We start from the raw sequence: 13,930 nt of genomic DNA, 5'->3' as shown, positions 1-13,930 counted from the left end.
CAGAATCCAACTTACAGGCCGATTACCCAGACACCAGCAGAGTAAACTGTAGAACAATAAGCAACAAAGTCCATGAATTGAAGATGGCTGAGCCTTCACTAATGCTCTCAGTATTTCACACCATTTTTCTTTTATAACTACCACATTCTGCTGGGACCCAAGAGTTGGAACGACTGCTTGCATTATATTGTAATGGTCTCTGACTAGCATTTGTGAGGCAGTGTGTTTTATTTCTAGCAAAGGAGCTGAAGGTTGGAGTTCTGTGTATGGTGATAGGGGAGGTGGGGACCACCAACGTCCCTTCCCAGGGGCTGGCTGTCATGTGTGGCTGGTGAAAACTGTGATTCAGCCAAAGAAAAGTTATGTAACAGCAGGTAGCCCCATGCCCTGGATCTCTCATCAACAGCCAGAATGTCCTCAGTGAGCCTCAATCCCCATATTAATGTACTTGATTTTGGTTTTTCTCCCACTGACAATCCAGACCCTGAGTCAAAGAAGCAAGAACATTCCTCACAGGCTCCTACAAAAATGTAGAAACTGCCCAAACTGATCGTACACACCAGAAGGACGGTGTTTCTGGGCAATCAATTAACACTCCCATCTCCCTTTTGTCCCCTTAACCCAGGGAACCACCCACTCAGGACCCCAAATGCCAAGGAGGACAGCACCCTCACTCCCCTTCCTAGATAAGACAGAGAGGGGAGGGTCCAGTAGGCAGCTGGACCTGATGTCATTTCAACTCACTCTTTGGGCTTCACATCTTGCTCTCTTGTTCTTTCCATCAAGGGATACACAGTAGAGAAACTCCCTTAGTGCCTCCTCCACCTTGCCTAGGGTGGCTAAGGCTTGGGCTTTTCTGAAATGTGCCTGGAAGGAAACATTAGCATTCAATCCCATTTTATTCAGCCTATTAACACTACTGCTCTAACAATAACTAACCCACAGCACTCACTGTTGTGTGAAACATTTTAAAAGGACTCTCTTATCTACAGCCCTAAAATGCGGGCAACTGTTCTAATGCCATTATAAAGAAGACAAAACTGAAACCCAAAAACGTTAACTTGCCCAGTGTAACACAGCTGGTAAATTGTGGAATCAGGGTTTGAACCTGGGACTGACTGATACCAAAGCCTGTATTCTTAACCACTCTGCCATACTACCTTGTCTCTGCCCCACCATTGTACGGAGTGACCATCAAATGTAGCAAGAACCCCCATTTGACCACATGCTAACCAGCTTTCAGGGCCTGCCCAGGTATGCGTTCGTTTGAACTAGTCTCTCAAGCAGAGAACCAGTCCTCAGTAGTGGCTTGAAAGAGCACCTACACTAACTGATCAGTTTTCAGAAGAGGCCCAGGAGAAGGGATCTGACCTCTCCAAGACCTCAAAGGTCGCTAGTGGCAAAGCTGGAACTAGAACTGCAGTCTCAGGACTCCCAGAATGCTCTTCTCCACAAAGCAGACTGCCCTTCAGAGGGCTAACCAGGGGCTGAGCTTACTCTCCTAGGGGCCTGGATCACTTCTGCTCCCTCACCACATACTTTAGAAAGTATAAAGAAGTTTATGGCTCCTCAGGGCCCAAGCCCAACTGCTCTGGGAAAGACACTCTAGGGAGGGCAGAGGAACATCCTGGGGAAGAAGGAAGAAAAAAGAGTAGCGGGGGAGAGGGCTGCCCTCTGTGTGTGTCTTGAGACAGGTGGACACTAGCAACTTGGCTTGAAGAGCATTTCACTTGAGTCATCTAGGACGTCCCTCCACCCAGTGGCCTGCTCCCTTGCCTCCTCCATTGGCAGTACTAAGCCTAACTTAGTGAATGAAGTGATCCAGGTTGTGGCTGCTGGATACTCCCCTGCCCCCCTTTCTAACATGCCTCTTTGCAGGCCCCAGAGCCCTCAGGCTATGGCCTCGCTGCAGAGGCTGCCCTGAAGCTGCCTTCTTGAGCAGTGGCCCCTGCTCCAAACCTCTTGAAGACCTTTCCGCATTCCCCCAGCTCCTTCTGAAGCCTTGTCTTGGCTGATACATGGATGTTGATGGCCTCCCTTGTTGCTTCTCCCAGCAGTGTTTACCAAGGGTGTTTGGGAAAGGCTTGCATGATATCACAGGGCAGCTAGAGGGGAGAAGTGTTGGGAGACTGGAAAGGCCTCTGTGTGATCCCACTAATCATATTATCAAGTAGCAATCCATATACTCTTTTTTTTTTTTTTTTGAGATAGAATCTTGCTCTGTCACCCAGGCTGGAGTGCAGTGGTGGATCTCGGCTCACTACAACCTCCACCTCCTAGGTTCAAGCGATTCTCCGGCCTCAGCCTCCTGAGTAGCTGGGACTACAGGCATGCGTCACCATGCCTGGCTAAGTTTTGTATTTTTAGTAGAGATGGGGTTTCACCATGTTGGCCAGGCTGGTCTCAAACTCCTAACCTCAAGTTATCCACCTGCCTCAGCCTCCCAAAGTGCTGGGATTACAGGAGTAAGCCACCATGCCCGGCCAACCCATATACTCTACCTGCTCAGGGCAACCAGCTCACACCACTGAGAGCTGTATCACCTGCAGGATGTGCTGAGTACCACACACTCTGGTTGGATGGCTGGAATAGAGAATAGGGCTGCCAGATAAACCCCTACACTTGGGGCATTTTACATAGAAATGTTGGGAAATATGCAAATCAGGGTGGGAGGTGGTTTTGAATTATAGGCATCAGTTCGTCTTCTCTTAACCTCCAAGAAAATAAATTATCTCATCACTGCCCCCACCTCTCACTTCATCACTATGGGGAAATGAAACTCCTATTTAATACTTTCATCAACTCTTCCTTCACTGGAGAAGTCACTTTTCCCATTTCATCCAAAATGCTTCACTGCTTCTCAGCTCTGCTTCTCACCACACTATCAAGTTCCTTAGCCCTAGGATCTAGGCTTAGGGTGGAGGTGGAAAGAGTTGCAAGTCCTCTTACTCCTAGGCAGCTCCCTGACTTGCACTACTGGGAGGCTGAAAGTGCCCCCACTAAAGCTCCTTTGGGTTAAGACACTGGTGACTTGTATTAAACACTAAATGTGTTCTTTGGGGAAAAAAAACCATACTAATCCATCATTACTCAAGAAAACCTTCTCAGAAAAAAAAATGAATCCATCATCACTCATGAAAACCTTCTCAAGAAAGAACATACAAGATTCACCTGACATTCATTGCACAGTACACAGGTCCACATGCTTTATCTGGTTTCCAGATCCAAAAAAGTTCTGATAATCCATTATTTTCATAAGCTTGACATCAAAATTCATTAGATGGCAAAACCTGACCTAAACTGATATAAAGTGTTTAAAAATATTTGTCCCACTGAGTGTGAATTTTCATGGAATCTGCTGAATAGTGTGTTGGATTACAGGAAGCTGTCCAGAGCTCACTGAGACCTAATATATGGTCCTTGCAAAATATAAAACATTCTGGATTCTGAACACCTCTGGTCTTACAAGATTCAGATAAGGGATCATGGACTTGAACTTGGATACATTGGTTTTCTGAGGAAGGCATCCTTGGGTTGTGTAGAGACAGAGCACTACATCCAGGAAGCTTTATAGCTTGCAGAATGTCCTCTTGGCCACGTTCACTTTTGACCCTCATTGCATCATTGCGAGGCAATCAGGGCAGATATCAATAGCTTCATTTTGCAAACAAGGATACTTGGGGTTCAGAGAGTGAAGCCACCTCCCCATGGTTTGCAAGTAGTAGAGCACAGGCTCAAATCTAATCTTCTAAACAAAGTACTGACATGTGGCTGAGGGCCAGTCCTGAAGCCAGGCAAAGATACAGAAAGTGACACTTTGCATCCTGGCATCCTGAGAGGTGTCCAGGCCGTTTTTCTTCTCACCCCCCATGTGACCTAAATCCTTGGGGATACTGGCAGGCTGACTGACTATATTAAGGACTTGAAATGGCACAACCATTGTGTGAGTGTGAGGATCCCTTCAGAGAAAACTGGCCAAGCTGCCAAGGAGCCTATCAGTAGAGGTTCAGGAGCACCAGGGCAGCAACACCACTCTCACCTTCCTCTTTCTAATGTCCCTGGAAAATGATAAAAATGGCGATAGAAAACATTTATATAGGCTGGACACGGTGGCTCACACCTGTAATCCCAGCATTTTGGGAGACTGAGGCAAGTGGATTGCTTGAGGCCAGGAGTTTGAGACCAGCCAACATGGCAAAACCCCGTCACTACTAAAAATACAAAAAATTAGCCGGGCATGGTGGCACACGCCTGTGATCCCAGCTACTCGGGAGGCTAAGGTGGGAGACTCACTTGAACCTGGGAGACGGAGGTTGCAGTGAGCTGAGATCACGCCACTGCACTCCAGTGTGAGTGGCAGAGTGAGACTCCGTCTCAAAAAAAAAAAGCCAGCGCGGTGGCTCACGCCTGTAATCCCAGCACTTTGGGAGGCCAAGGCGGGCGGATCATGAGGTCAGGAGATCGAGACCATCCTGGCTAACACGGTGAAAACCTGTCTCTACAAAAAAAAATACAAAAAATTAGCCAGGTGTGGTGGCGGGCGCCTGTAGTCCCAACTACTCAGGAGGCTGAGGCAGGAGAATGGCGTGAACCCAGGAGGCGGAGGTTGCAGTGAGCCGAGATTGCGCCACTGCACTCCAGCCTGGGTGCGAGAGGGAAACTCTGTCTCAAAAAAAAAAAAAAAAAAAAGAAAGAAAACAGAAAGAGAGAGAGAGAGAAAGGAAGGAAGGAAGGAAGGAAGGGAAGAAAGAGAACGTTTATATAGTGCTACATGCCAGACACTGTTCTAAGTACCTTACATTATTAGCTTATGTAATCCTCACAACAGCCCTCTTTAGTAGCTGCTTTGAATATCCCCCATTTAACAGATGAGGAGATGAAGTACTGGGAAGTTAAGTCATTTGCCCAGGGCCACAAAGGTCATAAAAGTTAGCAGAGTTGGGACATAAACCCAGGCAGTCTGGCTCCCAAGTGCATATTCTAGAGAGTCACTATGCCCAGGCTGCTCTGAAGGTCATGAGTTGAAGACTGAATTGGGGAAGAATCCAGCTCCCTTGCAGACCTGAGTCACTCTTTGCCCAGGGATCTTTACCCTGGCTCCTTTGCAAAGTCTTCTTCCTGTTCTGCTTGAGCTCTAGTGCCCCTATGCTCCAGGGAGGCAGCCCTTCCTGCCAATACCTGTCTACAGTACAACCCCTTCCCACCTCTTCCATCCCACACTCACCTTAAAACCCATCGGGCGGAGCTTACATGCTATTTCTGCATCATGCAGTGCATTCTCATGAGACTCCAAGGTGAAATAAATCTGAGACCGATTGCTATAAAGCAAGTGGTCATTTGGAGCTGTCAAAATAAGAAAGAAAAACCTTTATTAATGGCCCCCAGCGCAAGCAGGTGTTAAGTCCTGTATGAGTATGGATCTTGAGCAAATGATAAGTTTTCTAGGACTTTTCTACTGGAGATCAAAAGGGTTAGGCTCTATTTCTAGTCCTAATATTGTCCTGCCTTCTATACCCCCAGCCACTCTGGGCCTGAGGTTCCCCAACTGCAAAGTCATTTTTGCCCCCGCTCACAAGTGGTTCATTAGAGGCCCCGTGGTGTCAGTGGTGCATTAGACACTTTGACATAGGCGAGATGTGGCTACACACGGCTAGTGTCCGGCAGCCTGGTTTATGAGTGCAGTATTACCAACAAGAAAACAGGCCAGGTAGGAAGGAGAGAGAGGTGGGCAGATGTGACCCCTATCTGAACCACCAAGAAGACAAATCCAAGTTACTTTTCCAGGTGGGAATGACTGATGACATTAGTAACACCTTTGTCTACAAAGCCCAGCACATATGAAGATTTCTTGAAGAAAATGGAAATACATTTACATGGTCCCATCCTCTCATTTCAAATGGCCAAATGTAAATGAACTTGGACAAGGTTTCTGGGAATAAGGTGAGGCCGGCTCTCACCAAAAACTCTGAATTACTAGATGTCAGAGCTGGACAGGCTATTAGAGATTATCTGGCTCAATCAACCCATTCTTCAGATGGGAAAATCAAGCCCAGAGAAGGGAAGGCATTTTCTCAAGGTCACACGGCTAGCTGGGCAGTCACTGATAACTGGTCAGACTTTGAAGCTTTGAAGCTGGGATGTGGGGAGCAGGTTCCTTTTTCTGAAGGTGTGTGCAGTACTTGGAATAATACGGACACAATGGCCATCTTCCAGAACAGAGAGCCTCCTTTCCTCTTAGAAGGGTAAAGCTGGCCTTGACATTTTCACCCTGACTTCTCTGAGGGGATTAACAAAGATGCAAGGAAGAACTTCCAGGGGAATGTGGTGGCAACAGAGGAGAAGGGTGAGGGCAGGAAGGGGCTTTCCTGGCCCCTGGGGGATGGCTAAAAGGTATGGAATCTGCCTTAGAGATCTAGAGTTAAGTGACCTCCACCTGCCTCATTCATATTGCCCTGCTCTTCCCCAAGATCTGGGATCTAGCTTCCTCTGTGGCAACAGGCTTTGATGTTTTTTTTTTCCCCAGGGGTGTGCTCAGGGCTTGCTTGCGTGCCCATTACTTGCTCTTAAGACATTAGCAAATTGTTTAGTCTTTTCTGTCTTTTTTCTTCTGCAGCACACTCCAGCCTGGTGGCAGCTCACAGTCTGCCTTGCTTGTGCACAGACAGGAGCTAGAAGGGTCCCCTTCTCCGGCTGCCAGCCTTGCCCCTTCAGTCCTCATTCCTCCTCCTCCTCCCCCCATTACCTGTTGCAAGCTTGAGTGGAGATTAAACACGTGGAGACTCCGGCCCACACCCCTCCTCCACTCCACAGAGTCAGGTCCAGGACACCCTCGGATCCCAGGGCCCTGCCTGCCCAGCCCTGCTGCCTCCTCCCCGGCATGCTTCGCCAGACACCGCGCCCCACGGCCGAGCTCCTGGCAAACTGCCAGAGCTGGGCAACACCGGCTGGCGGCTCAGCAGCCACTTCCTGGGTCCAGGCGTGGTGGGTCAGAGAGCGGCTCCCTGGGGAAATTCGGGTGCCCTAGTCTAGCTGGAGATGGGGGACTGCCCACGTTACCCTTGAAGCTGCAAAGCCCACCCAACCCTCCCAGGCGGCACTGAAAAGCGGGACAGAGGCGTGACCCATTCGTAGCCAGCCCACGGTCCCCAGGGATCCCCAAGCAGTTGCCGCGCCGGCCTCCCGCCGGGCTGGCCAGGTTAAAGGGGTTGGAGGCGAGGGCACAGGCTACGGGTTGGCGGGGCGGGCAAGGGGGGGCATCTATTTCAGCCGAGGATCGTGTGATAGGAAGCGGTGACAATGAGTCACAGGGCAGCGGGGCGCAAGCGCTCCCCCTCCCCCCGCACATGCTCGTGGGATGGTTTCCGAAGCGAGCGTGGTGGCCCACTTCAGTTACCTCAGCGGTTACACAATCCCGCCCGCTCGCGCGGGGGAGGGGCGCCCGACCCGGGCCGCTCGCGGCCCTTATGCAACCAGTGCTCTCCTGACCTAATTCCATGCCGGACCCACCCCACAGGGAGCCGCGGCCCCGGAAGGGGCAACACCCGGCGGCGCGAGCGGCGGACGCAGGCGCCGACCGGACATCTCCTGCTGGCTACAGCCCAGAGGACCGGGCGCAAGTGCGAGGAGCGCGCGAAGTTCCTCTCCTCGCTGGGAAGGTGCGAGCAGGTGTAAGAGGAGACCAGGAGTGCAGCGGGAGAAGGAGAGTCAGAGGAACAGAGACAGTGACACCGAAAAAGAAAGAAACAGTGACAAAGATACGAAGAGACGGAGAAAAAGAACCAGAAGCAAGGAGACACAGACAGGAACGGGGACTGAGAGACAGGAACACAAAAGCTAACAGAAGTAGCAGGAAAAGACAAAAAGCAACCGAGATCAACACAAACACAGTGAAACACAGATAAGCAGTGAAAACAGAACAAACTCAGAGACCCAGCCCCAGAATCACCCCTCCCCCACCCCGCCACAGTCCATGGGTCCCCCGCCCCCTCTTCTGCCCTGGTCCAAATCCCTTCTCGCTGCGGGGTTTGTTCTCCCGCTCCCTCATGTAGCCACCGAGCCCCAGCCCCGGCCCGGCAGCGCGTTGGACTCACCCAACTTAACTGCCTCGTTGTACTTGAGCAGTGCCGCCTCCACCTGGCGCTCGCGGTACAGTCGGTTGCCCTCGTGCCGGAGTTGCGACGCTCGCGCTGGGCCTGGAAACAACTTGCCGAGGAGGCCGCTGAGCACCACGTTGACTCGCAGCGGCGGCGGCGGCTGCTGCCCAGCCCGCCGGGCTCCACGCGCCCGCCCAGTGGCCACCATCAAGGCGGAGAGCTTGACCCCGCACAGCGCACAGCGCCGGTCGGCGGCCCGCCCACGTTCCAGGCACAGTTTACAAAAGGTGTGGCCACACGACAAGGACACGGGGTCTGATAGAAACCCATGACATTTCCGGCACTTAAAGCCGTCCCACACCTCGGTGGCCGCCGCAGCCGCGGCGGCCCCCGTCTCTTCCGCCGCCACGGTGCCGCTTGCAGTGCTACCCTCGTCCGGGGGCGCCGGCGCCAGCGCCTCGCCTTGCGGGACTTTCTCCGCCAGGCAGCGCACCAGCTGCTCCAGCTGCTCAGCCACCAGCTGCTGCCGCTCGGAGAGCTGTCTATACACCTCGAGGGCTTCACGGATTCGCCCCCGGGACGCCAAGGCGTCTGCCTGCGTGAGCAGGACTTTGCTCTCCGGCGTTGAGGTCCCCGGAGACTGCTCTTGCTCTGGCTCCCGCGTCGGTAGAGGTGCGGGGCCCTCTGCAGCCACCTTTGGGTGGGGGCCCATGTCTACTTGGGCCGCTGATGCCCCTCGCTCCGCCGACTCCAAGTTGTCGCTGCTGACCTCAGCGGGCAAGCTCAGCATCTGTTCGATCCGTACTGACTCCATGGGAAGAGGGACACGGGAGGAGACGAGGCGTCTAGGGACCGGGGACACGAAGCAAGGAGTGGCAGCTGGAGGAAATCGGGGCAGCCACCGCCGCCATGCCACCGAGCTCCTGACCCTGCCGCGCCTCCGGGAGCTCCATGCCGGCCGCCCCGCGCCGCCTAATAACTGTCTTGTCTCAGCAAAGTGTTATATAAAACGGTACCACGTGACGTGCCGCCACGCTGTTCATTGGCCGGCGGCGGGGAAATTGTTACAAAACCAGACAGTTTTGTAACAGTGTTGCTCTTGCTTCTTTGGGCTTCGCTTTTCTTGGCTTCTTTTTGAGGTTGTTTGTGTTTACACTTCGCCTTATTCCTCCTCACCACCTGGTTCTTTTTCGGAAGTGGGGTTGTGGGGTGGGGAGAAACTCAGTGTCTTCTCTTGGGCTTCTCAGTCTCCAAACCCCACTCCATCCCACCTCCAAACGGGCCAGCAAACAGGTCCCCTCTGCCAGCCGCTGACCAGCGGCCCCCCACTCCTCCCAGGAGAGGCTGGTACCTCGAGGTGCACAGTCCGCAGGGTCTTCCGGGACGCCTAAGACTCTCCCTCTTGGGGGAGATGGCTGCTGTCAGGGAAAGGAAGCAGGTTGGGAGGGGTATCCGTGAAGCCCCCCCACACACACACAACCCAGTCCCAGCCCGAGAGCCCTGGGAGCCCCGCCTGGGTTCCTTGCCTTCTCCCAGGAGCCTCCCAAAGGTGGTGAATTCGGTTTCTGAGGGTGCTTGGTGTTCTGTGCCAAGAGTGACTCAGAGCAGCGGGTCCCACCGGCGCAGAAGTTGGGCAGCGCTCGCTGGACAGTGAGGAACTCGCGGAGAAGATGCGCTTGCCGGCTCAGCCCTGGGAGGGAGATGCCCCGCTAACTCCCCTCTTTACCTCTCTACCCCCAACGCCAGAACTAGCGCTGGGGCAGGCGGTAGGCGCCCAGCTGGAGACACACCAGGCCGGCCCCTGGAGCCACTGGCCGGATGGGCGCGGCAGGGATGTACCCGGCCTGCTGGGGTCGGTGGGTACTCTGGGGGCGTGGGAGAGTGGCAGGGGGAAGACGCGAGCTGAGAGCGCTATTCAGGAGAAAGTCCGCGAATCCCGGCACAGCCCAGTGGCAGACCGAATAGCCTCCAGGTTTGTCGCTCCTGAGCGCTGCGCGGGAAGGGTACAACTGGGCACGAGCCTCAGCGCCTGGTTTACAATGGCTAGGGGGCCTCGACGGTGTCCTACACACTTCCTGAAGGCGAGCGGGGTGGCCAACTGCACACTCTTTGTCTGCCTTGAACCCCCACATTTAGGACGGGAACCAAGCTCACAAATGAGCAGACAGAAAACGGTATAGTCGCACTGCTCCAAGCAGGGAGGCAGGGACTAGGCTTGCCGCTGGCTCAGTTGGCCTTCAGAGCCTGCGGGCTCTTGGGCAGTGCCAGGTTGCCGCCCCAGGGGCCTGAAGACCTATTGTTGCCCCCTGCTGCAGCCACCTCTTAGCCAGATGACCTTGGGGAAGTCAAACTTTAGAATCCATCATTTTTGCTTCTGAACAAATGTTAGAGCTGATCTTACTTGGGATTAAGTCATGTTTCAGAGTTGGGTTATGGCAGGCCCCCTCGGGTCTCTGCTTCTCTTTAGGTAGTTAAACCAGTCTTAGATCAACACCAAGGTCCCAGAGAACAGGTACTATGCAGCCAGCTCTAGAGCCTCTTTCTAATAAGACAGGACAGAGGGAGAGGGTCACAGGGCAGAAAGGAAGCATCACATAGGGGAAAAAAGACACACACACGAAAAAAAAAAAAAATGAAGAAGAAGGAGAAGGAGAAGAAGAAATAGAGAAACTCCAGATGTAGTCAGGAAAGCACGAGGGACACATTGGAAAACTTGGCTTGAAGCCTTGGATTTGTCACATATTTGCTATGAAACCTTAGGTAGGTTCTCCAAACCTTAGTTTCTCTTAATCTCCAAGGTTCCCTCCAGCTCTAACCTTGAGTGGCTTTGATCCTAAGACCAAATTTCATGATACTAACTCAGTTACTTAAGTACAAATGACTAGTCCAAATGCTGTGGATGGTGGCTTGAACCGGGGTTGAGGGGATGGGAAATCAATGGAAGATTGTCCATTTAGTCGGGGTCAGACCTGAGCTAGATTTTTTTTTTTTTTTTGAGATGGAGTTTGGCTATTGTTGCCCAGGCTGGAGTGCAATGGAACGATCTCAGCTCACCACAACCTCCGCCTCCCAGGTTCAAGTGATTCTCCTGCCTCAGCCTCCCAAGTAGCTGGGATTACAGGCACGTGCCACCACAGCTGGCTAATTTTTTTGTATTTTTAGTAGAGACGGGGTTTCTCCATGTTGGTCAGGCTGGTCTCGAACTCCTGACCTCAGGTGATCCGCCCGCCTCAGCCTCCCAAAGTGCTGGAATTACAGGTGTGAGCCACCGCGCCTGGCCCCTGAGCTAGATTTTTAAGATGTAGAAGTCGGAGGACTGGCTAAGAGGTGGAGGAGGTGGCCATACCAAGCAGTAGGGGAGAAACTGGAGTTCCTGGTGAGTTGCTATCTAACTGAAGGGAGCTCTTTTCACCTCTCAGTTTCCCCTACTATCAAATGAGGTCCCCAGCACTAATTATCTGCCTGCCCCTTCAGGCATCTGTGAGGAAGGACAGTCGTTGGGGAAGGTAGAGATTCATGAGATAGATAATGATGAAACCATCTTAATTCAAGAGCTTTACCCCTTTGACATATCTAAAATATATATATATATGTCTGTTACCCAAAATTGTTTCCTAGATGCAAATCTGGGATGTGCTTTGCTCCGTGGATGACCTTGACAAGGGAATATCCCCTGGGTTGATTCCCCTCCCTTGCCCTGTTATGGTAGGAAGGCTAAGAGAGGGCCAGGTCAGGTAGAGAGTCACAGTCCTGCAGGCATGGAGAAGAGAAGCTCTCTCCAGGCAGGCCCTCTTGGCTGCCAGTGCAGGAGGTTGACCGTGAACTTGGTCAGGAATGTGAATAGCAGTCTGGATAATGCGAGGTACTCTGGTGTAAATGGCAGTACCAGCTACTCACTGACCAGACTCCACAGGGAGTTTTACATTGTAATCAAGACTGCCTGTAGGACAACACCAAGTGGGTTTCTATTGAATGCTGAAAAACATTATCACAGTGGTTTTCTTTCTTTGTTTGTTTAAGTTAAACAAATATTACCATTACATTGATAGACATTGTTGAACCAATTCAGAAGTCTCCTACTCAGAATTTCCTTCCCTCTGCTCTTACTAATTGGAGCCCCCCTGGAATGAGGGGAAGGGGGAGATTAACACCATCTTTTTCAGGTGCAAATATTCCCTTTGGAGTGTAAGGTTCTTTAAACCTCCATTTATTTTGCTAGGATCACCTTGTGGCTAAGGTTAACCAAGAAGAGAGAGCAAGGATTGAGCTGCCCCTCATTTTCAACTAGTAGTTTTCCAACTGGACTCTCAAGAATCTCTTTGGGGCTCAGAGGAGACAAGCAGACAGGCTTTGACCCTAGCTCCCCTCAAGCAGGGCAGTATTGTATCCATCTGTTTCACATAACTGAGCCTCCAGGTATGATTTCTTTGAAGAAAAGCTGTCCCTTACAATATCAAGTTTGAAAACCATAGCAATTTTCACACATTTTCATATATTTGTTGGGCATCTTCCACATACCAAGGACTGTTCTAGATACTGGAGACACATCAAAGCAGCAGCCGGGTGTGATGGCTCATGCCTGTAATCCCAGCACCTAGGGAGGCTGAGGTGGGTTGATCACGGCGAAACCCCGTCTCTACTAAAAATACAAAAAAAAAAAAAAAATAGCAGGGCATCATGGTGCACGCCTGTAATCCCAGCTACTTGGAAGTCTGAGGCAGGAGAACGGTTTGAAGCCAGGAAGCAGAGGTTGCAGTGAGCCAAGATCACGCCACTGCACTCCAGTCTGGGCGACAGAGTGAGAGACTCTGTCAAAAAAAAAAAAAAAAAAAAGCAGCACATAACTCCCAGGCTCTCCCTCACTTATGATAGTGCATCTTTCCCCACATACACACATCCTTGTACTGGCTTCCCATGTAGGCTAGAAGCTTCAGAGGGCAAGGACTGGTGTCTTATATCTCCTCCAGTGACATAAGCAGGACAGTGCTTGAACAGATCTTACTGAACATGCCAGTGGACATTCTGGCCCTAGGAGTGTGCAGAGGGACAAGAGGAAACAGTTGGAATGCCATGCACTGTGGTCATTCACAAAGCAGAGACTGGGCACACAAACAACAAATGGTTGACAGTCCTGTACTTGGAAAGGCCTGCTGAGCAACTCTGGGACGAAAGAGTCCATTCGAAGCCAGAGACCTGTAGTAAGGTGTAAGCAACCCCGCACACACATACACATGCACACACTCTATGCCTGGAAGCTTGGCCAAAGCACACATTTGTTCTGTATCTGATATTCTCATTTTATAAACTGGGGTGACCCATAAATCTGCAGTCCTTACAGGGGGAAAAAAAGGAACCATGGACATTAATGGTATTGATATGGAAAGCAAGACCGCTCCTTGCTATACAGAGTAGCCAAAACCCACAACTAAAAGAAAGTTTAGCCGGGCATGGTGGCTCACGCCTGTAATCCCAGAACTTTGGGAGGCCGAGGTGGGTGGATCACTTGAGGCCAGGAGTTCAGGACCAACCTGACCAACATGGTGAACCCCCATCTCTACTAAGAATTAAAAAAATAAATTAGCGGGAGTGGTGGCGCGTGCCTGTAATCCCAGCTACTGAGGAGTCTCAGGCAGGAGAATTGCTTGAACCCAGGAAGTGGAGGTTACAGTGAGCCAAGATCGCACCATTGCACTCCAGCCTGGGCGACAAAGCAAGACTCTGTTTCAAAAAAAAAAAAAAAAAAAAAAAAAGGAAAGAAAAGGAAGGAAGGAAGGAAGGAAAGTTAGCTTACACATCAGCTCTGGTTTCACAAATGAGGCCACTGAACACTAGAGAAG

At 51.5% G+C, this 13,930-nt stretch overlaps 1 protein-coding gene across 10 annotated transcripts in view; it reads right to left on the bottom strand.

The window, feature by feature from the left end:
- The window catches only part of LONRF3 (LON peptidase N-terminal domain and ring finger 3), a 43,742-nt gene extending 34,668 nt beyond the window's left edge, over positions 1-9,074 (bottom strand). For 5 of the 10 annotated variants that reach the window (NR_110311.1, XM_005262476.3, XM_047442517.1 and 2 more), the window contains exons 1-3: positions 8,091-9,074; positions 5,225-5,343; positions 745-867 (exon numbers count right to left, since the gene is read on the bottom strand). Coding sequence is in view for 9 of the 10 variants with exons in the window: in XM_005262476.3 (XP_005262533.1) it covers positions 745-867; positions 5,225-5,343; positions 8,091-8,907 (1,059 nt within the window). In the remaining variant the exon portion in view is untranslated. Of the gene's footprint in view, positions 1-744; positions 868-5,224; positions 5,344-6,742; positions 7,357-8,090 lie in introns of those variants that run through there. The other 5 variants (NM_024778.5, XM_017029845.1, XM_047442519.1 and 2 more) reach the window with 3 other exon arrangements.

Source organism: Homo sapiens, chromosome X, assembly GCF_000001405.40.
Source record: "Homo sapiens chromosome X, GRCh38.p14 Primary Assembly".
Lineage (NCBI taxonomy): Eukaryota > Metazoa > Chordata > Mammalia > Primates > Hominidae > Homo > Homo sapiens.
The sequence above is the reverse complement of the archived record's forward strand: the minus strand, read 5'-3'. Positions and strand labels throughout refer to the sequence as shown.